The 24811-nt window shown below is 36.9% G+C and overlaps 2 long non-coding RNA genes across 4 annotated transcripts in view; one reads left to right on the top strand and one right to left on the bottom strand.

Annotated features, from left to right (window-relative positions):
- LOC105378307 (uncharacterized) overlaps nt 1-10413 on the bottom strand; it is a 28825-nt gene extending 18412 nt beyond the window's left edge. For 2 of the 3 annotated variants that reach the window (XR_945965.3, XR_945966.3), the window contains exons 1-2: nt 10208-10413; nt 9532-9694 (exon numbers count right to left, since the gene is read on the bottom strand). This is a non-coding gene — a long non-coding RNA (uncharacterized LOC105378307). Of the gene's footprint in view, nt 1-2511; nt 3411-9531; nt 9695-10207 lie in introns of those variants that run through there. The other variant, XR_001747451.2, reaches the window with a different exon arrangement.
- The window catches only part of LOC105378306 (uncharacterized), a 33317-nt gene extending 21395 nt beyond the window's left edge, over nt 1-11922 (top strand). The window contains exons 3-4 of the long non-coding RNA XR_945963.2: nt 10079-10254; nt 11829-11922. This is a non-coding gene — a long non-coding RNA (uncharacterized LOC105378306). The remainder of the gene's footprint in view (nt 1-10078; nt 10255-11828) is intronic.
- The last annotated feature ends 12889 nt before the right edge of the window (nt 11923-24811 follow it).

Genomic DNA, 24811 nt, shown 5'->3' on the forward strand with positions numbered 1-24811 from the left:
CCCCTTCATATCTTGTACCATTTTTTTGATTTCATTAAGTTGGACTTCACATTTCTCCAGTGCCTCCTTGATTAGCTTAATAATTGACCTTCTGAATTCTTTTTCTGTCAATTCAGAGATTTCCTCTTGGTTTGGATCCATTGCTGGTGAGCTTGTGTGATCTTTTCTGGGTGTTAAACAACCTTGTTTTGTCATATTACCAGAATTGTTTTTCTGGTTCTTTCTCATTTGGGTAGATTATGTCAGAGAGAGGATCTGGGGCTCAAGGGCTACTGTTCAGATTCTTTTGTCCCATGGGGTGCTTCCTTGATGTGTTGCTCTCCCCCTTCTCCTAGGGATGTGGGTTCCTGAAAGCCAAATTGTAGTGTTTGTTATGTCTCTTCTGGATCCAGCCACCCAGCTGAGCTACCAGCCTCTGGACTGGTACCGTTGGGTGTCTTCACAGAGTTCTGTGATTTGAACCATCTTCAGGTCTCTCAGTCATGGATAGCAGCACCTGCTCTAGTGGAGGTGGCAAGGAAGTAAAATGGACTCTGTGAGAGTCCTTAGTTGTAGTTTTGTTTCTTGCACTAGTTTTGTGTTGGTTGGCCTCCTGCCAGGAGGTGGTGCTTTCAAGACAGCATCAACTGCAGTAGCATAGGGAGGATCAGGTGGTGGATGGGGCCCTAGAACTCCAAAGAGATTACATCCTTTGCTTTCTGAGTTTTTCCGGCTGTCTCCAGTGGCCTGCAAGAGCAATCCACTTCCTTCAAAGGGTCTTTAGATTCTCTTAGCTTTCCCGGTATGTTTGTGCAGTAGTTACTGGAGTGAAAGTTCACGATGTGAGTCTCCACATGCTGCTCTGTCCATCTGATTGGGAGCTGCAATTTAGTCCTGCCTCCTACCCATTATATTCCTGCTTCAATCCCCCAACCAACACTCTGAGTTCCTCAAATACATCCTGAATGCTTCTGAGCTTTCAACTTTCTAACTGTAATTGCTTTTATTTCAGAGATTGACTTGGGAAATTATAGATAATGAAATCTGATGAAACTCTCTCTGACTAATAATCCATAATAAACAGTGGCCTGGGGGTGAGGTGGGGAAAGAATGTATAACACCTGAATACTAGTGAAGTCCTATGTTCTTGGAATTATAAAACTCGAGAAGTTAAAAAAAAAAAAAAAAGTCTTGACAGCTGACAACATGTTATACTGCTTCTTACAGACCAGAAATACTCCTCAGAATATTATCAATAATCAGAGGCCACAAGTGACTGTGGCCAAACAAGATATAAACAACACCACTCTGCAATCATGTCTAAATATCGGGAAAAGGACACTATGCAACCACAAAAATTACCAAGCATCCTTAGTTTCTGGCTAATTGAGTGGCTACAGTTTCTTTACTAATGATAACCCTAGCTTCTATCTCAGTTGTTTGGACTTATATTTTTTCTCTCTTTTAAGAATAATCTGAGTTTTGTTGACAAGCACAATGTTTTAATTGGTGTCCCAATAGAAAAACGTATCCCATTGGTCAGAAAAACAGAAAACATGTGTATTCCTAAGAAATACTCATAAACCAAGTAACTTTCCCCACCAAGCAATGACTCAGAGATATTATTGTAAAACTACTCTCCTAAAGAATTCAGAGCAGATTAATCATAATCCAAAGATTTCCCTGTCAGAGTGAATGTTAACTAAAAAGGGGAAGATATGTGCAAAGTGTTTTTAGGCTTAAATGAATGAATACAATATCCTCTTGATATTAACACATACAATTCTCACTTAAAAATTAAAAAATAAGAAATCTACAGATTAATGTCAGCAACAAAATTTTCTTGGATCTTCTAAATGGACATAGTTAAACAAATAAACTGTCCAGCATTTATTGTGAAGTGACATAATTAACAAATATATCTCTCACATATAGACATGCACATATGTATATGTCTATATAAAGATGGAATATATGTTCATTAGTATTATAAAATACATTTAATTACATGACTCAGTTTAATAGAATACTGTAGCCTTACCACATTCACTTACTCCTGGATGTATATCTACCAATTTTGAAGAAAAAAAGTAAATATTAAAATCATTACTTTGGATGGTAAGCAAAGATGTCAAGTCAAGTACTTTTTTATTCTACTTAGATGTTAAGGCTTTAAGTATGTCACTTAAATATGTATACAACATACTTCTAATGTGAATTTAGTTCTGGAATGCAATGCACTATTTTATTTGCTTTCCATTTGCAAATGAACTCTTACTCTTTTTACAGTTGCACTGCTTGACAGTTCCTTTATTACAGTTGACATAATTAAAATAGAACTATTTTACTTATAGTTATGATATATTATAGTAATTTAAACCAATGCTTTCACTAGAGTTCTTATTACAGTTGTTCAAACGTATTATTTTAATATAAAAACATTAAAATTTCACAAAGTAAAATGTCTGCAATTATTATCCTTAGTAAGTTGGTAATAAGCAACAATACAGAGTTTTGAAATGTACAGTAAATTTTAAAATAATAAACATGGATGAGGAAAAGCTCCAATCTTCAACAACATTCATATATTGTGGAATGTGTCGTTAGTGATATGTACATTTCAAATAAATGAAAGTTAGTATAAAGATTATGATTTAGTAAAATGTGTACGGATCTGGATATATTGATATTTACTGCAAATTGATAAATATAACATCTGCAATGGTCTGAAAAATTTTAAAAGCTCCTCTGACTTTAACACAAACATCGGTATGTCCTAGTTACTATTGCTACATAATAAATCATCTTGAATTGGCTAAAACAACAGCCATTTTATTATGCTCAAAGATTCTACAGTTCAGGAATATAGAAAGGGCAGACAGTTGAGGCTTCTGTTTTTTGGGGCTTCAGGAAGATGTTTTCTGGCCTTTTGGGTCTACTGATGCTCCTGCAGGAAGGCTGCAGTTCTTAACAGCACATGGGGAGCCCTCATCTGGTGTTTGGCTTAATTCCTGGTGCCTGGATTTCTGGAGAGAGGTGTGATTAATGTGGCCAAGAACATCCTTTTCCACCCATGTTGGAGAGATCGCTGTGTGGATCTGGTCCCTACAATTTAGAAGCAGCTTTTCACCTTGATGCTCAAATGACCATGCTTAACCACTACTTGCCCTGCATCCTTTTCACCAGCTGAGATTCCCAGCAAGCAGTAGGCTCCCATCCTGGACTCCAAGGAGACAACTCTTCCCTGCACCTTCACCTGGAAAGCTGTTGCCCTTTCTTCCCAGATCACGATCACAAGACTCCAAATTACCGAGTGGGGTCCAACAAGGTGGGACTGTAAGGAACATGTCCTGTGGACATTACCTTCACTGTTCTCATGAGTGGGATGGGAAGAAAAGAGTCCTCCCCTTCCAATTGGTGGATTTTCTGGGCTTGGAAGGAGGAAAACAAAAACAAAAACAACCAAACAGAAAATAACTATTACCTGAATTATTATGAAACTTCAGAGAAAACTACTTATTTGAAGAAAATAAAATACGATTTATGTTGTTGAATTTGCATTGCCAGAAAGTTTCCAGTGTCCTTACTACAATTTTTTTTTCACCATCAAGTTTGGTCAGAATCTCACAGCTCAGAGAAAATTATGGAGGAATAATAAGATCTAGAGCAGTGCTTCTCGTATCTTATGTGTGAAGAATCTTTTATTAATTTGTTTAATTTCCAGACTGACAGTTTTGTAAAATGCCTTATTAGAAAAAATTTTAAAAATAAAGAAATAAAAAGTCAAGCCCCAAATATTGTATTTTAACACCCTAAAATTTCATTTCAATAAATATAATCAAAGTAACATAACAGGAATAAAAGAATTACACAAACTGAACACATTATTCATTGAAATAAGCATAGTTGCAATTAATATAGATAATTCTGTTAAACTTATGTCATTCTGCAATCATAATGTTATAAGTTATGAAAAATAGCAATCTCCTATATTAGAATACCTCTAAGAGCACTTTCAACAAATGCCGTATTTATCAATATTTAAATATTTTAGTGTGTCAAAAAAATTGCATCTTTCCTATGGACTTTTCTGATCTGGACTGAGTGGGGGTGACGAAATGGCTCACAGGGCATGTGTAATATGTCTATATGATTTATTTTAATAATACTCACAGCAGAGAAACCTCTCAGAGATTTTGAAAGCAATTTTATTAAGCTCTGGATATTTATTTCAACGTTCCATCAATGACAGTTCCAACAAGTTAGCTTCTTAAGTTATAGTTATATTGAAATCATCTTTCAAAGGAAATGCACTAAGGATTTTCTAGACTTTGAGGTTACAATTGCAGAACCAATCTTAAAATATGCCATACTGTAAGGTGGTCCTACTGTGCATGACTAATGCTGGGGTCAGACTCAGGAAACGCTGATCAATTGTTAGAGAGCAGGTCTCTACCCTGATCAACCACAGGGGTCCAGTGATCACACCTGGAGGTCCTGGCAATGTCAAATTGCTCTAGGAGTGTGCACCTGAGTCTCAACTTTGATATTATTCCCTTTATCAAATAATACTGGATTACAGAGCATTCAACGCAAAGAGAAATATCTTTCTGATTTTCTCTCTGGCTTGAGCATCTACCTTAATCATATTCACTAAATTAATGGAATTCTGCCCACATGTCTTTTACACAAAAGAACTGTGAATTTAAAATGCAGCCGTGGTGTTACTCACAAGTGCCCACATCCCAAGTCAGATCCACAAAGAAATGAAATACTCTCCATACTCAAACCCCCTTTGCCCTTTTTTTTTCAGTTGATTTTCATATTTATGTTATCTATCAGAAGCTTAATAATTCTCGCTCTGTGAAATTATGTTTATGACAGTGCTGTGAATTCTCGGGTGGTATTTACTGCAGAGTGGTAGACCCCTGTCAATGCAGCTCTGGCTCTGGCAGAAATGCCAGCATTACACTGTAGCCCATGGCAGACTCTACTATCCTCAGCACCACGCAAGAGTCAGCAGTCACCACCTCCCGAGAGAGTCAGTCACCCTCAGCCTTGGAGCAGCAACTCACCCTCTGCGTGCTACAAATCCCCCGGGCTGGAAGTCCTGGCGCCAAGCCTGCGAGCTTCCCGGGTGTTGACCTGCGCCTAAGTCCTTAAGTGACTCTGTCCTCGAAGGAACGCACTTTTAAACAGTCCCTTTGTCCAAAGAGGCAAGAGTTTTGCCCTTCGGTGGTGTGAACCTACAGTACTCCCCATGCCCTGTGTTTTCCGGGTGAACTCGGAGACCAGGGGCTGTGATGCGAGCTCCAGGCTCGCTGCAGGAGAGGGAGGCTCTTCCTAGAATGTGGTGGTAGTGCTGACAGGTGATTGTTTCTCACTGCTGGTGAAAGCGCCATCAAAGCCCCCACTTTCTGAAATGGTAGTTCTGGTTTCCTCACAGACTTACGTGTGCGCTTGCAACATTAAAGTTTTCTTCTCTCCTGGGAAAAAATACAGTATCTCATTGTGCCTCTCAGCAGTGCTTCTACCCGGTGACCTCTTTGCCAGGGCCGAAGCTGAGCCTGGATAGGATCACCTGGCGCACGGGGATGGGACAGGCAGGCACACAGGAAAGAACCACTGTCCTGTGCTCCCAGGTGACCTTTTGCCAGGAGAAAGAATCCTCCAAGGGAGCGGAAAAAGTCAAGACCTCCAGGAACGTGTGTGTCTCACACCAGAATCTTTAATGCCTTCAAATCACAGACCAAGTTTCTTTTTTCCAGGGACTTGGGTGATGGCCAGGGTTTATTGACACAGAAATGGAAACAGACCATTCTTTAAGTTCACTGAGGTCCTGAAACAATAATCTTCTCAGGATGCTCAATGTGAAGATTTTCTTTTTGGTGTGTTTCTTCTCTTAAGGCGATATTGGTAAGTTTGAGATTGCTACTGGATTGCATTTGCTGATGTTTTAAGTTATTTTGCATTTCATCAGGAGTATTAGTCTGCATTTCCTCTAAGCCCTAAGATTTTGATATCGATGATATGCTTACCTTAAAGCAAGTTGGGAATGTCCCCCCTCCCACTTTTTTTTTTTTTCACTTACTTACTGAAAGAGTTCATGTGAGATTGGTATTATTTCTCCCTCAAATGTTAAAATTCACCAGCAAAATCTTGTGTACTAGAAGATGTCTTTATAACATGACGTTTAATGACAATTCCTTTAATGAATTTTGAACTGTACAGATTTTCTATTTCTCTGGGTCCAAATTGGTAAGTTGTGTTTTTCAAAAATTTAAAGAGCAGTTTGTCCATTTCATCTAAGTAGTCAAATTTAGTGGCATAAAATTGTTCCTAATATTCCTTTACCTTTTGCTAGCTGTAGTATCTGTTATGAATTATTTTTTTTTTTTTTTTTTTTTTTTTTGAGATAGAGTCTCGCTCTGTCACCCAGGCTGGAGTGCAGTGGTGTGATCTCGGCTCACTGCAACCTCCGCCTCCCGGGTTCGAGTGATTCTGCTGCCTCAGCCTCCCAAGTAGCTGGGATTGCAGGCATGTGCCACCACGTTTGGCTAATTTTTTGTATTTTTTGTAAAGATAGGGTTTCACCATGTTGGCCAGGCTGGTCTGGAACTCCTGACCTCAAGTGATCCAACCGCCTTGGCCTCCCAAAGTGTTGGAATTACAGGCGTGAGCCACCGTGCCCCTCCTGGGAGATTTTTAATTATGAGAAATGACCTTGTTTGAAAAAGCCAGTGACTGGTATTCAAATGTCATTTACTTAGAGCATTTGCAAATCAGCACTGGTGCTCACTGATCAGCTTGCTGCCCTTCAGCTGAGCCACCTCAGTTTTGCGCAACCACGTCAGAGTGGAGGAAGAATGCTAACAAGACTGGTTTACAGAGGGTCTGTGCATCCTTACTGCATGTGTAGCTTCTTAAAGTGACTATAGAATTTGAATGCATGTTTGCCTTATATTCCCTTTATTTTATCATCTTACCTCCTATTTTCTACCCTATCCCTCATAGCATATTTCTTGTTTGCTAATCCAGCTTCAAGTGCTTCAGGTTCCACTCAGGTTCTCTGAGGCATACAGGGATCCATATTTCAGTGCATGCATGAGACAGTATGACTCTGTCCATGGGAACCTCTGGTTTATGTGTGGCAGGAGTGGCAGGGCTCCTGTAGCCCACATACCAAAGCAATATTTGATATGCAGAGCCCAAACAGACCCAAATTCCCCCTAGATTAATGAGGAATGAATAACTGTCTGAAGAGTTACGGGCAAGGATTCACAAATTTGCTAACACTAAGTCAAACTTATCATTAGAATGCTATCATTTTGCCTTTCCAGCCAATTATTTTTCACTTTCCTTGTTATTTCCTCTCAGAGACTATCAGAATGCACTCCATGGGCCCGACCAATTCCTTTCTCACTTATCATGTGAGTACTCCACTCAGTGAAACTGAAACCCCTCAAATTGTACCCATCTATTACTCACAAAGCCTGCACCTTGTGGGTAGTTAGCTAATTCTTCTACTTCTGCATAAGATGTTCTTTGCTGCCTTTGGTTCTTGGTGACTTGCTCCTTAGCTTGTCTGGGCAATGTCTCCCTCTCTGTGACAGGTTTCCTCTCTTTCTTGAACATGTCAAACACTCGATAACTATTAACTGGATACCATCCCATGCTCAGGCTAGTTAGATAAGCTAACGGATATTTGACTTGAAAAGAGCATTGGGGTTGAAATTCAGGAAACATGGACTTGTAGGCACTATTTTATTATTTTTGTATCCTTCCAGAGCCATCCTTCCTGAGCTATGAAATTGAGGAAGTGGGAATGATTTAGAAGGAGAATTTCCAAGACGCATTTCCAGACTTATAACAACTATTAGCATACTTTGCAATTTAAGATAGTACATGTGTCACAATTATTTTTACATTGTTTTGGTAAGGTACTTTATCAAAATTATATCCATAGTAGCAGATAAGGATGATTATTTATTTCAACAAATTCCTAGAGAGATCACTGCACACAACACTACTGAATGATCAGTTTTATATAATGAGAGAAAAAAGTTCAACTTTTCCTTTTCATTTTTTTCTACTTTTGTGTAGAGAAAGTATAAATAGAGGACACATTTGCCTTGTTACTTTCAAGTAACATTGGCAATTGTTTTAGAAATTGGCTCTTTGTAGAAAAACAGATTTAATAAAGATCAAAGCTACCTTAGAAAATTTCCTTTATCGACACTTTTGTAAAAAAAATAGCAAGTTAGTCAAATTTTCCAGTCTCCTAATGTAACTAAATGGTCCCTGTGGATTCCATTCCACTTTGGTTTAAAAGGATATTAAAGAGGTAAGCATAATTCCTGCAACCTTACAAAGCCATTTAGTAATAAACAATTTATGCTGAAGTGGGAAACTCACATAAAAGAATCAATTTTTGATATGAAAAAGAATAACTTTGTAACATGCAGAAAGAACACGACTTTCAAATTCTTGAAATTATAGTACAAAAGAAATCCTAAAGGGCCAAACATGGTATTCCTGATAGATAACTACAGCAATAACATCCGTATGATAAAATAAATGTTATTTTTGGTGACAATGCATTTTCTTTTCCAACTGATCTGTATTCCCCTGTCACACATATGTAAAACTGAATGATTTCTGAATGTGTAATTAAATCATTCCTTGCTTGGCATATCATCCTGCCAGAAAACTTAGAAATATCAATATCTTTGTTGTGAAGCATATGAAAAATGGCAGTATAAAATCCTTTGTGATCTTAAACAAATATTATTTCCATATGTCTGTGTGTACATGTGTATTGCCAAATGCATCGTAGTAATTTATTTTCAAATGTTAGGAGCAAGGTAGAGACTTTATCACCACTCTTAGTCAAAGACAAATATAAAAGAACATGGTTACAATTCATACCACTATTTTAAAAAAACTTTTTTTTTTTTTTGAGACAGAGTCTCACTGTGTCGCCTAGGCAAGAGTGCAGTGGTGTAGTCTTGTCTCACTGCAACCTCTGCTCCTGGGTTCAAGCAATTCTTCTGCCTCAGCCTCCCAAGTAGCTGGGGCTACAGGCACCTGCCAACACACCCAGCTACTTTTTGTATTTTTAGTAGAGACGGGGTTTCACTATGTTGGCCAGGCTGATCTCGAACTCCTGACCTCATGATCTTCCCACCTCAGCCTCCCAAAGTGCTGGGATTACAGGCATGAGTCACCGCACCCAGCCAAAAAAACTTTTATAAAATACATTTTGGATGCAGTATTCAGACTTCAACAACTAGAGCCTCATGCCATTAATTCAGATAATGTGGATGAACTGAATGGAATAGCTAATGTAAATTTATAGCAAAAGTGAATAAAATAATATGCTTCATAGTGTTTACTTGCATCCAAAGACTCTAAATGGTTTACACTGAAGAAAGAGGTAAGTTCATGGAAACACCAGTCCACATTTAATTCATATAAATAAATACTTGGAAAATGTTAGAGGTGAAAGATTTTAGAAATTTGCTTTACTTTAGGATAGTACTCTATTCTTACCAAATCATGGTCACTTTTTTTTCTCTGAATCATCCATGTATCCTTTATAGATGTGCACTGCTGCTCATTTGGAGGTTTCCATAAAGACAATGAGGATAAAGAAGAATGTATTCACTCTGGCTAAATAAATTCTTTTGATGATGTATCAGTTTGTCCTTGTCTTCTAGAAAATGACGGGACATTAATATTAGTATGTCATAAATTAGTATTGTTACATCTTATTTTTTTAACAAAAATGTTCTAAAATGGTCTTTTTAAAACTTTTTAAATTAGAAAATATTACCATATAACCTTGTCAATACTATTAGTTTTTTTTTTATAAACCTTCTTTTACATACACAGGAAAACAATGAACTAAGTTCTGAATGTATCATCTATAATACAAAAGGAATTGTAGCTTATGGCTGGTATAATATTTTGCTGTTATTTCCTCTAATTTCTACTCCAAAATAGAGTCACAAGTTTTTTATAAAAACATCTTTGTACTCTAGGTTCCAACTCTAACATGTAAAGAGTTTTGAAATCATCAACCTTATCCTTACAACAGGAATAAAGCTGAAGACACTGAAAATCAACAACTTTTCTGGGACCCTTCGGACAACTGCAGTCACAAGGTAAACTACCATTTTTAAATATGGAGACAGAGGAATACAGAGTACAACTGACATCAGCTTACCTGGAGCAGGAACCACGGAACTAAAAAGTGGATGGATCACCTGAATGGTAATTCAGATAAATTGCTGTAAGTTGAGTGTGACATAGCTCAAGAATAAAAACTCCTTGGAGTCACAGTCTTAGAAGGGGTTCTGCATATTCAGAGGTTTTTACCTCCAAGAACCCCACCAAGTTCTCATCATGAAGAGCCAAGAAAAATCATCTCGTGTCTTTGGCAGGGGGAGGAGAAAAGTAACCACTTTGAAATATGACAGTTTTTTTCTTGTAACAAAGTCCTATGCTCCACTGAAAAATATTTTATCAGAGCCTTATCTTATGTTGACAGAAGGGCAGTTACCCAGTTCCAGCCACCCATAGCCTTTCTGTCTTACCTAAGTGGGGATGAAAAAAAAGGTGAAAGCTCTTGTGAAAGTCACAGCCCACATGGAAAGACCTGCTAAAAAACTGAAATTTAATCACAAGATTACAGAATTCTCTTTTCTCCCATTCCTTGCTACCAAATCAATGGGCATCTAGTATAATAACAGTGGATTTGTAGCCAAAAGATCTGCAAACTTAGACTCTATTTAAGAATGAGCTCTTAGGGAAACCTAAAGACAACACCAGAGAAAAAAACAAGGACATTAAAAGAATTGAAAGACTCTGACACATACAGCTACAGAAAACATTGGACACAGCCCAAATCCTAGCCAGGTTAAGATACAACCTCACACTAAAGGCCTATGTGTCTCATTCTCTTTTCCAAATATATGCATATAGCTTTCAATAACAACAAAAAAACTCAAGGTATGCTAAAAAGTAGGAAAAACACAGAAAATACAAAGCAAGCATTAAACCAAGACTCAGATTTGACAGAAATGTTGGACTTAGAGATGGAATGTAAAATAACTATGGTTCATATTTTAAGGGTCCTAATGGAAAAAAAGTAGACATTATGTAAAAACAGAGATAATGTAAGCAGAAATTTGACATTGAAAAATAGACACAAGAACCAAGTTAGGATTAAATATTAGGGTCCACCTGTTGCTAAAGCCCTAAATTGACCCTGGCTCATGTACAGATCTCCTTTAACTCCACTCAATCCTGCACTTTGGGGCTGCATGTGTAGCAAGACTTGGGTCTATAGAATTGTACAAGATATAGTTAATTTGCAGTTGGACTAGAGCAGCCCTGTGCTTATCTCTGGGGAACATGGAAATCTAGTGCTGACTCTTGGCCAAGATAAGGGTAGTGGAATAAATAATCATTTATAGAGTGCAATTTAAACTTTGAAACTCCTATGGTGGCACTCAGGCCCAGCTTAATTATTGATGGTTTTCACCAGCATAATTAGCTAGAAAGCCTTTGTTGTCTATATAATCAAACTGTTAGGGAGCTCCCCCCTAAACCAAGGTTTCCTGTACAAACCTTGTCATCTAATTTGAAGGCAAACTATTTCTTTGTGGGCCTAAGGATGACCCTGAAGAGCTATGTCTGGGAGAATCTAAGGGCTCTGACACTTGCTGGCATTATCTTGCACTCTATCTCTTGCACTCTATCCTTTGGCTTGAATACTCTGTGGGATCTTAGAAGTCCTTTCAATGATCTGATCAATGAACTTCATAAAAATAAATATTTTTTAGGCTAACTAATTGGAAGTTCACAGACTGTTCATATCCTCTCACAATATTCAAACTGGTGAAATCTTCATACTGACAAACCATCATAATTGTTTAGGTAGATAAAAAATGCAAATTTTGGAGCTTCATTAGAACTAGAATCAGAAGGTCCAGGGTAGAGCCTGGGAACTTGTATTTGTGGAACTCTGCCTAGATTGTCCTGATGATTAGCCAGTTGTGTGAACCACTGACCCACACCCTGGAGCTCCTCGGTTACCCTCAAGCTCCATTAAGGGTGTCGTGTAGCAGGAACATGTTTTGTCTGCTGGGAAACCACATGGGTTAAAAAGTACAGTATAAATGAATTGAAACCAAAGAAAATACTGGGTTAAGCACTTAGTGCATACTGTTTTTTAAACTTTTACATTAAATTGCTTGGCATGACATAATGTACATAAATGTTGCAATCAACCTCTAAATAGGAATACTGTAAAAATTGTTACAAATATTGTCCAAACTAGTAGAAAGGAAATGTAACTATTATACAATGATATAGGTCATATCTTATAACCAGGAAAAGTATTGTGTCTGAGAGACAATGGTGTATACACACTTAGAGCCATGGCAGCCATCCTAGGCTTGTAACATCAATGGTGGCCCAGAAATAATTTTGGGACTTTTTTTTCTCATCATGGCAAAGAGCCCGCTTTCAGGAACCAGGTTTCAGGAGCATTTGTGCCACCACTGACAATAGGTCAAACATTTCTAAAATGACTTTATTTTTCAGAGGTACATTTCTGCTTCATTTTGTTTCAGTTTAAATGGTAGTATGATGAGATACTTTTATTTACAATTGTCCCTTGGTATCCATGAAGGATTGATTCCAGGATCCCACCTGAATACCAAAATTCAGGAATTCTCAAGCTCCTGATATAAAATGGCCTGGTATTTGCATATAACCTACCACTATCCTCTGATACAATTTAACTTATCTCTAGATTACTTATAATACCTAACAAAATGTAAATCCTAGGCAAATCATTGTTATACTGTATTGTTTTGGGAATAATGACAAGGAAAAAGTTTGTACATGTTCAGTACAGATGCAATTTTTTTTCTGAATATTTTTGATCCATGGTTGGTTGAATCCACAGGCAGGGAACCCTCAGATGTGGAGGGCTGACTGTATTTATTTTTATTTTCTGCTATGCTGAAATGAGCAAACAGAGAAGGGAGAACCTAAGCATTAATATCTGAATAGCAGTTAAGTGCTGTGATTAAGAGCCTTGATTTTAGACCTGCCTGCAGGCTGTGTAATTCAAGTCCTAGCATTGTTACTTATTGCTGTGGGACCTAGGACAAAGTTCTTTATCCTCTTCCTGTCTTTCTCACCTCAGATGCAAGATGCAAACAACAAGATCTCATGTTTGTTTCAGGAATATATGACTTAAAAATATATAGTGTTTTGAAAGCAATGGTAATTATTTAGTAATTACACAGTAATAGCTACTTCAGTAAGTGTTAGCTTTGTAATAATTATTGATGCAGCCTCTCCCATCCTTAACCACAACCTCCCTTACTCCTCCTCCCTCTCCAAACTATTTTGGTCCAGAGGAAAAAACTAATTAATCTAACCAGTCTATACAATACAAGGTGTACTTGAAACTAATTCCAAAGAAGCCATAAAGATGAGGGCCAAAAATGAACAAACCTGGCAAAAGGAAAATATTCCGTTCCTAAAAAAAACATGTAATACTTTTAGTCTCTCTTACAAAGTGGAAATGCAAGAAATCTCTCTTATGATTGAGTTAAATATGAGCATCTATAATTCTAAGACATATTTATTTTGATGGGTTTTGTTGATCTTTATGTACAGGTAGAAAGAAAGAAACTATTTTTGATGAAGAACTGAAGTATTATTCTCTGAGAAATAATTCTGAGCCAGGACTGAGAATCTAGTTAGTCTGTGGCATTTGAGAAATAAATTTGGGTTTTAAAAACATGAATTATAAATGTTTACATTTCGGATTCTGGGTATAAATTTGAAGCTATAGAAATAACCAAAAGTGAAAAAGAGTGGTAGTAGTTCATAATTTGCTCTAATTACATATATCAAATCAATGGCCTGGTAGGAAGCAAGAGGGTTCACTCAGAAGATTTAAATTAACAATGGTTTATTAAAGAGGAGCTATTTACAGATCTGTGAGCGCGGTTCAAGGAATGAACAAGGCACAGTGAGACACTCAGCTGCTGGAGCCAGGGAGGAAGGGGCAAAGAGACGGTGGAAGCTGAAAGAGACAGAGAAAAAGCTACGGAAGCCGACCCCCCAGCAGCTGCTGCCAGCTGCAGGTGTGCAGGAAGTGAGTGCTGTTGTGTGGGAGGAGATGGCAGAGTGGTGATGATACCCAAACTGCCTTCTTCTTTTTCCTTCTACTTTATTACCCACTCCCTGCCAACACCTCCCATTACTGACCCAACAAGAAGCCAGAGAGTTAGGAAGCAGCCCAAATAGGGCACCAAGTCAGGTAGATGAACAAAAAATAAACTTCTCATCCTTCTGAGATTCTACTAGCAGTATCATTGACCCCTGTTTGTGCCTCAGATAGAGACTTTGGATTTAAGGGAAGCTACGTTATGCTGAGGTATAGCCGTTCCTGCCCTGTGTATTTATCCTACTTTAAATCCTTAGCCAAACTGGAATTTAATCTAATGTTACATTGGAGGTGTGTCTGTTACACAGAAACAGTCCAATCCATATGGGTAAAAAACTGATATAAATAAATCCATGGGAAATGGTTGGTTAAGCACTTAATATATCCTTAAAATTTAAAGAAAAAATTTGCAATTAAATTTAAATTACTGTATTAAAGTACTATAATGTTGTTGATAATTTAGGGGAGTGTTTAGCGGCTTGACTTTTGCTCAACAAGAGATTTTCTTGGTAGCTCTTACTAATCTACATTATTTCTCTTCTGGCCTTTTCAGGCATATGACAATCTCAAAAGATTGTTTTTCTGAGGCTAAATACAAGAAAACTCTACCACAGTGAAGAAAAAAAGCATAGATTTCGGAAATAGAAACTATAGGTTTGATACTAACTGCTGCATACATGCAATCTTTGGAAAATTGTTTACAGTTTTATAATGTCAATATCATCTACAAAAATTTAAAGAACCCAACTTTACCTCTAGGTCTGTAGTTAGGATTAAATAAGATAAATTATATAAAAATGTCTACTGCAGTGCCTAGATCATAGCATGTCTTCAAAAAAGTTTTCTTTCTTCTGACAAAATTTTCTAATCACCTACTTTAGGCCCTTTTTCAGAGAATATACTTCAAATTAGAACATGAAGTCTTCTAAATTGTGCCTATGTCTGAGTAGATGCTGCATAACTATAATGCTGTATTGAACAGAATTGAATCTTTGCCCCAAAGCATAGGATTTTTGCTTGTAGTAAAATGGAATAAACATATAGGCACATAAAAATATACTCTACATATGAGTAGGAAGAAAGTAAGAGCTGTGGGATATTCTAGTACAGGGTGAGTATCAAGAGCTAACAAGATGGTGAAGCCCTCACAAAAGAGATGAGGCTAAAGCTGGTTCTAGAAATATTGGAAGCATCTGGACACACATACCATATAGGGAAGGTTATTCCAGACCTGGGGAATTTCCTAAGCAAAGTAGCAGAGAAGAGTAAGCAAGGTATGTTTCGACAAATTAATAAATGAGGCCGACTTGAAAGGAAGGTTCATGGAATAGAGTAAGAATGGCTGCCTGGTAAATAAGAATTGGTTTGGCCAGGAGTGGTGGCTCACACCTGTAATCCCAGCACTTTGGAAGGCTGAGGCAGGCGGATCACAAGGTCAGGAGAACGAGACCATCCTGGCCAATATGGTGAAACCCTGTCTCTACTAAAAATACAAAAATTAGCTGGGTGTGGTGGCGTGCCTATAATCTCAACTACTTGGGAGGCTGAGGCAGGAGATCGCTTGAATCAGGGAGTTGGAGGTTGCAGTGAGCTGAGATCACACCACTGAACTCCAGTCTGGTGACAGAGTGAGACTCTGTCTCAAAAAAAAATAAAAATAAGAATTGGTTCGAGGATTACCTCAAGTGCTTAATCAGTTTGGATTTGAAGGTCTTGGAGCATTTTAAGTGATAGATAAAATACGTATTTTAAAAAATTAGTCTTGGGCAGAATTGATTTGGCCTAAGTTATAATCTATGAAAATGACAATGTATGAAAGTTATAATGTATGAAAATCTTCTGATAAAATCTTAGCATTAATTGAAAATATTGTGTATGTTTTCTTGTCATGTATAAATCAGGAAAGTATTGTTTCTTGTCAACATAAACTTAATAGCGTCTGATATTTGAGACTTATTGGTTAACTTTGAAATCTTCATGACCATTTTTTCTGGCAACTAGAACTAAAGAGACAATTGGCTCATAGAGCAAAAAATGAATGGAATTTAAGAGGAGAGGAAGGAGCTAGGATTTTGGATGCTCTTTTCATCCCTCATGAATATTGGAAAACTACATGACTTTGGAAGGATCTTTGGCATCAAACATAACTTAACTTTAATTTTGACTCTATCATTTTTTGGCTGTGCTGTCTTGGTGTAGCTACTTCTATCAATGTTGATTTCCTCATTAGTAAATGAAAAGAAATTATGCCTCCTTCTCAAGATCATTGTATTAAATGAGATATACATGTATGCCACAATGCGTGGCAAATACTAGAGGCTCAACTGATGTTATTTAGTTTTATTGTTGTTTTTGGTAAATGATGATATCAAGTGCAAAGGTCAGGTATAGAATACTCGCATAATAATGGTTGAACAAATTCTTATGATGACAATCATTAGCTGTAGTTATTATTTTTCAAATCTCTAATAAAGAAAAGCGAAGTTGTATGGGTCAAGAAAAGCCCTGGTTGTCACCCTTAGACTCCTTTGGCTTTGAATTCATTACCTAGTGATCTCTCTTCCCATTAACAGTTCTATGGCTCTTATTCTGGCTGGGGGAAAGGGCATTGGTACAACCCACAATACAGGCATATCTTCTTTAATACAAAACCTGTATGTAGGAGCTATTTCTCACCACCTCCTTGAATTTGAGAGTAACTTCAGGCCGATCATTTTTCCAGCCTGGGATCCCAAGGTGAGAGATTAAGTGCTTTTGTCATTATTTCTTGGAGAGATAGGGATGTTCAGCCTCCTGAACTGTGAGCCAGAGGCTTTTTATATGGAAAGAGCATTTTGATGTGAATTGTATTTTGTGAAATATGAATTTCAGCACCAAAATACTGTAGTCCTCACAGTTAACCTCTTGTTGAACATTAAATCAAATTATTGTTACTGGGAAAACTCCATTACATTACAAAGCAGAGCCAAGATTCTCAGGTTTACAAGCTTCATGTGCTAATTACATTCTGCTGCCGACAGCATGGGTGAGACTCTAAGGACATTTGGTATTCTAGAAGCTTATTTTATGGAGCCAAATTTAATCAGAATGTGGGTGACAAAAATGGATCATGACGTTAATGATCTACTGCATTAGAGTCCAAGTTGTTCATTGAGCGAGTGAGAGTAATGTTGTACAAGGTTTTTTTTCCCAAGAAATATTATTTTTCCTTACCTCCCCCAAGCAGTTCTGAATTGACCTTGGCAATGGAAACTAAAACCTCATTTAGGCCTGACAGAGAAGAGCTATGCCCTTACAGGTGCTAAGAGTATTGTTTGCTGGCTTTGAACACTAGATGGCAGAAATGCTCTTGTTAAGATTTGCCAAGTTGTCAAGGAGAGCAGTTTTATTGACAGCAATGATGAGCTCTCTTAATTAGTCACCCATACACATGAAAGCCACACAGGATGCTCTAATCGAAAGGGAGATGTACTTTGCAGTCCATAGGGAACTAGTTTTTACAATACGAATGGTTTGGCCGAGGATGCTTTTTATGAGGCCTGCCTATTCATTTCAGTAATGGAGTGGAGTCATCTAGGGCTTTGCTGCCCATTCATTAATGGGGAGTGTTAGGAGAAAAAGCCCTGACAGATCATTGTGTTTGCTCCTGAAAATCTCTGCATATGAGTTTTGGTGCCCAAGAAAAGACTGAGAGAAATAGCTTACTGCAATTTTTTCTCTCTCATGGTTGAGAGGAATGATTTGCTTCACAGCAGAGAAACCTAATTAAAGAATGGACCTTAGTAATGATCTAATAACCAGAATCTTGTCCAAGTGGTACTCAGCTATGTTACCATGCCTCAATATTATCTCTGACACTTTTTTGAAAAAAAAAAAGTAAGTGTCTCGTTATTACTCTAGCCACACAGAGTCAGAATCCCTGGAATATCTATATTGAAAAGGTATGTGGATGATTCTGAAGTGCAGAATTTTTATCCTTTAGTAATATTTTTAATTCCAGAATCAGAGTCAACCCTCCGTATGCTAAGTGCACTCGAAGGACCCAGTCTCCACAACAAAAAATTTTCTCTCAGCCTAACTGTAATGTGGATGTCTTCTCACTGGCCACTGGTTTGTATCAAAGACTCCTGGGATAAAGTGTAACAGTTATATAGAATGTAAGTCATTAGCAGACTTTAGCTTTATAGATTCAAATGATTTGATAGATTTTTCAAAAGTGATAAGTAAAGCACTGACTTAAAGCACTGAATTTCTCAGGGTTGAGAAAGGATTTTGACCTTAAATTTTGAGAAATACGGGGCTGAGTAGAGTATGGCACTGATACCACTAGTCACCTGGAAGGCAACATGTGAAGGGACTGGGGTTGTTATCAGGAAGGTGATGGGCTCTTGATCAGGAATTTGGAGGATACTTAAAAAAAGTCTTTGTCTGTTTTCTGACTCTACCATGGGCTGGCCAGGCTCTCTGCTGAGTATGAAAGAGCCCATTGAAAAGATATAATTTTAAGGACAGGAATGGAGAAGCTGCATCCAGTGGTTTCAATGGTACATTTAATCTCTAGGTGATCACAGAACAAAAGTCAAATCTTCTCATGTTGAACATTCACTTTTCTTTGTGTACAGGTTTTGGGGTTTTAGGAGTTGTTGGCGAGACTCTAAGACATTGAAATGAAAGGTTAAAAAGTGAAAAGTTCTATCAATCAGTCAAATGTGTGTGAGCCCAGTCTGCTTGATTATACTTTTCTTGTTGAGTTGATCTGCTATTTTAGTGTTATGAAGGCACAGTTTAAATTGCCACTCAATTTAAGTAGATTGTGTCTAACACTAGTCACTTCGGTGAAAAAAAATCAGTTGAACTTATTATTTGATGCCATGAAATACCAAAAACTTCCCTGATTTACTTAGCTTTTGATTCTTAAGTACTGTGTTAGCAAGGAAGTCCTAGCTAATCTGTTATGAAAAAATATCCAGAGAAATACCATTTTCTATTTTGGAGAAAAAAACATATTTATTAACTATGAATTAGCAAACTACTCCTCTATTTATTCATTAAATTTTACCAGAATCTTTTTCTCTTAACAGCTGCAGTAACATATTCATTATTATAACTTCATGAAAAATAAACACTGAATTCAAGAAACACAATAAATGTCTATGCCAGAATACATTTTGTATTCTTAGCTTAATCAACGTCTTAAATACCTGCTTTAGAAAACAGACTTGATCGACTTTCCAATATTTACAGTGATCTTGATGCAGTTCATACATAATGGCTAGATTTCAGAAACACTAAAAGGGAGCATAAGATGTACAGGAAAGTTTCCTCACTGAAAAAGATATTCATGTTTTCACAGCAGCCTGACTTTTTAAGTTTTGCAGATTACTACTATGCAGGGCATAGAATTGGAGTGAGTAATCCTCCTCATTCACTGATACTCTGATTTGAAACTTTTGCTGAAACCTGAAGAAACATACATTTCCCAAGCTATATTTTTTTTATTGCAGGCATGTATAAAGACTGCAATTATTTCTCAAGGAGAACCTGTCATAAATACTACATTGGAAGTTAGTCCAACATTTATAGCTTTAGCTTGGAGTTGCAATTGCTGGCAATATGTAAACATATTTGCCATTAGTGTTGAATAATGCTCCCTCACAGTCACAGAGAACATTGTTCTGCATTTGTGCTTCTTAATCTTGTTGAATAAGAGCATTGCAATGCAAGAAGGCTCATTGGCTAGTGTGGAAGTGGCAATGTGTTGCTTTTGAAAACTGGCTTGTAAATTTGTCCGGGTGAGCTGTTTTTATTAGTATGGTCACTGAAAGTATGGAATCATCAGACAGTAAGCAACCATTGGTAAGTGAGGCAGATGATAAACCCTTATTTAACTCTCCATTTATTATTTGGTTACTGATTTGCCTGCTTGTACTAAAAACAAAGATTTACTTTACTCAGGAAGGAAATAAATTTCTCTCTTGTTTTTTATTTTTGTTAAATAATCAGTTATGAATAAGGGGCATCAGGTCAACATTTCATATATGCTAATGATTGATTGGATAAGAGAGTTCTTTTCTTTAGACCTTCACCTTTGATTTCTAAATGAAAGGTGCTTTCAAAGACTGGCTGCCTGAAATAACACATGATGAATTTACATTACTCTATGGTTTCTTCAGGTAGGTGTGAATGCTTCTTATCAGGTGTGCCAATAAGTCATTTTGTCAAATGTGTAATTGAAACGTCAATGGAGTGGATGAACTCTGTGTAAATATTCAGCTCATCATGTAGTAGCAGGTAATAGAATCATTATTTTGCTAGATTTGAGCTATAGTGATTGGATCGAGGGACACTTTGAAACAGGAGAAAATCACTAACATCATTTGACATCATTCCACTTGGAAGTGGAAAAGTGATTCTATGTAAGGAAGACCTCTCTCACTCATTTCAGTCATCCTTAAATCATAGCATTATATGTCCTTGGAACAACTTTGTGTTCAGTTTTTGCAGTAAAGTCAGATAGGCTTAATGTCCTTTTAATTACCTTATGAATTTCAGGTAGTAGTTGTAAATTGATGTCTTAATATTTACTGTTAGGGAAGTTTCGTTTACCCTGCATACTTCTGGTCTGCAATTTTTAAAAAAAATTTATTGGTCATTCCCAACACTTACAATTCATACATTTTTAATTAAGTCCATGTTTTTGGTTTCAAGTCCATGTTTTTGGTTTCTTTAAAATAATGAACAATATGACAACACTGGCTCTGTGTTTATACAAACATAGATTGGAGTTACATAGCAGCTGCCACATTTAGACAGAAGAAGAAAAGTTCTTCGGTCTGCCACATTCTCCTGTCTTTCTTAATTTTTGCTCTGAGATTGCTAGCCTCCATTTCTTATCATGCTTGCATTGTTGTATTTGTGATAGTAGAGCTAAAAGGGAAATAAAACATTTCCCATAAAAATTGCTTATCAGAAGTGGGAAAATGAAAGCCAGAGGGAGAAGATCATATGTTTTCAGAAACAGTCATGGGATTTTCTTGTGAAATCTGTTTTTTCTAGATTTCTTCCATCTACTAATCTATGAGGCAAAAATGTCCACATTCAAAACCTGCTCCAGGCGGCTTTGCTCCATGTTTCAAACCTTCTTCCTCCACCCATGTTTAGTATGGAGACCACCGATACCTTGCTTTGTGGCACTGATACCTCATAGACTCTCAGGGACACGATTGCTCTTTCTAACTATAAGAAGTACTGATGACAACTGCCAAAGCTCTCCCAGTATGCTTAGTTTTTCTTTTGCTTAGTTTTGTATATTTTCAAAGAAAATCTGTGATTTTTCACCCTGGCATAGAACAATTTACACCCTGATTTTGTTTTACAAATTACAGAGCGGATAGACATAATAGGCAATCCTTTTGTGTGTGTGTGTGTGTGTGTGTGTGTACAGTATTTCATGATTCTTTACCTATCATTCCTGGTCACTCTCTAGAAACTGTATTATGATCATATAGATTCTGGAAGCAATCAGACGTAGACTTCTAGTTCAAATGTTGCTGAAGACCTGAGTTCAGAGAAGGAAGATGGACAAAATTATAATCAGAGAGAAATGCTGCTTCTGTTATTTGTGAGAATTGTAATAGTGCAAGGAGTGAGATTAAGATGTTATTTAAAAAGGAAAAAAAATCTGGTTAATATAGTCCAAGTTCCCAAAGAGAATATATACTGCCAGAGTAAAAATAATAAATGTAAGGGCATTTTCCATTATGCAGTGAACTTGGCCTGAAAACACGGTGTAGAACTTGATTATATATACACAGAAATTATCTGTCTACACCAAGGACAGGCTTGGGGCTCTCTTACCAACGTAGCATTTATATATGTAGTCTCATCTACTTCCTTCTTCCCAACCCCATAACTGACTCTAGATCTTCCTGCTTTAACGGCAAGGTCAGAGATAACTAGAGAAGCAGCATCAGCAACTCTCAGGTCCATTTTTCATCACCAATGAAATGGAATAAAGCAGGTATAAGAGGAAGAAGGCAGCTAAGTGAAACAGATGACCAGGTTTTTAGCCTGTCTCTGCTTTACTTCTCAGGCTTCATGGAGCAAGTATCAGGTGAATATATCTTTATACACATGATATTTAACAACTTTGAAAGATATGCATCCCAGGGCATCAGTCTAATCCACAGACAAACTCCTCCCCTCTGAGGATGAATTAAGTGCAACCTCTGCAAAAACAACAACAACCCTAAGTTAAACATGTGTTTGTATGTGTGTGTGTGTACACACACTGATTATAAATTATATTGATATAAAGGATGTATAACACTCAATTTCTAAATAATAACAAAATATATGATAGTCTCCATTATAAATTCCACATTGCCAGTTGATTCTTATGGAACATTTTCATTGATTTTTGCCCAACTCTTGTATCTGTAGTGAAACTATGGTTGTAATTGATGGATGAGTATAGTTCTGACATAAATGCTGGTTGTAACTCTTATTTACCTTAATGAGTAAGATGAAAAGGAAACAACAAGGATGTATACCCATACTTCACTAATGTTTCATGGAAGTGAGTGGCTTTGCTGAATGAATCAAAATATAATTTGTGAATACAGTACAACTACATCCTCAATGTTTTGTACTATTTATAATGTAAAAGCTGCATACATAACAAGTTTTTTAACTTCAATATGCAGTATTAACATCTTTTACATCTACAGTTCTAGTCAGGAATAAATGACAGTCTGTGTGACAGTGCTCAGCACACAGCCTAGCAGATACTAAGTACTTATTCAATGGTAGTATTCCTCCTCTTCTTTCCCCATGTCCTCAAAACCAGCTCACCAAACAGCATCATGAAACATGCACCAGGAAAAAGCAAAGCCAGCATGCCAGTGTCTTAGTCTATTTGCTGCTGCTATACCAGAATATCACAGACTGGGTAACATAACAACGAGGAAAATTTATTTCTCCCAGTTTTGGAGACTGGGAAGGCCAAGAGTACTGCATCTTGTGAGGGTCTTCATGCTGTGTTATCCCATGGTGGAAGACAAAGAGGAAGGTGAGACAGAGAGAGGCAATCAGTCCAAACTTGTGTTTTCATCAGAAACTCATTCCCTAGATGGTGGCTCCTCCTCCTAGAGGGGAGGAGTTTGTCTATGGATTAGACTGATGCCCTGGGATGTACATCTTTCAAAGTTGTTAAATATCATGTGTATAAAGAAATATTCACCTGGCTTTTATTCATGAGGGTGGAGTCCTTATAACCTAACCACCTCTTAAAGATCCCACCTCTCAATACTGTTACAATAGCAATTACATTTCAAAATGAGTTTTGGAGGGGACATTCAAACCATAGCTGTTAGGAAAAATAGTAGTTATTAATATTTACTAAACACTTATCATAGGCTAGTCACTTCTCACGTGTAATTTATTTTAATATTTACAGTAATGCTATGAGGTAGGCACTATCAGTATATCAATCTACAAGTGGGTAAATTGAGGGCAGAGATATTAAGTAAATTTCTAAAATTCATATGGTCAAAATATGGAAGAATAACTCTCCTCTGATTTTGTAACCCACAATCTTAGAAACTGTTTTATAAAGATATGACATAAAATAATATTGAAGAATTTGTAAAATATGAATTTTTAAAATAAGTTTATGTTCCAATATTGAAATTAAAATAATAAAATAAATCTCCTATTCCTTTATTGACACACACACACAAAAAGTACCAGGATATGCACAGAAGACACTCTTTGCCCCTGTTTTTTCTTAGTCGGCTCAGTCACAGGCCATTGGTGGTCTCTCTGGACTCTGGCTTCCTCCTTCACAGCTTTAGCCAAGTGTGTTTCCCTTTAAAAGTGATATTGCTCCTTGGCACCATTAATTACCTCTGAAATTGGAAAAAAATTCGGCTCCAACTTTCTTATATATTTCATTTTTCCAAAATCTCAGGAGATAAAAACACATAAGAATTAAAGCACCAGTTATTTTTTAGCTGCAGTAATTTGCAACTTAAGAAACCATTTTGTTACAGTATACCCAAGCCAAAGTATTAATCTCAGGACATAGCAAATATTTCGTTCTAGATCTTGTTGCTATAGATCATGCCAAACTTTTATCTTGGAGAAAAATAATATATAGAAAAATCAGAAGAAAGCAAAGTTTATATAATATATATGTGTGTACCTATATAATTTCTCTATGTGTGTGGATGTACATATGTATATATGTGTGTGGTTATATATGTGTATGTATATGTAAATACACATATATACATATATACACAACCACACACATATATATATTTACATATGTAGGCGGCCCTTTGTATTTTTGGATTCTGCATCCATGAATTCAATTATGGATGCAAAATAGTTGAGGAAAAAAATTGCATCTGTATTGAAAATGTATAGACTTTTTCTTGTTTGTATTCCCTAAACAATATAGTATAACAACTATTTACATAGCATTTACATTGCACTCAGTATTATAAATAATCTAGAGATTATTTAAAGTATGTGGAAGGATGTGGGAAGGGATGACTGTATTTAATTGTG

This window comes from Homo sapiens, chromosome 10, assembly GCF_000001405.40.
Source record: "Homo sapiens chromosome 10, GRCh38.p14 Primary Assembly".
Lineage (NCBI taxonomy): Eukaryota > Metazoa > Chordata > Mammalia > Primates > Hominidae > Homo > Homo sapiens.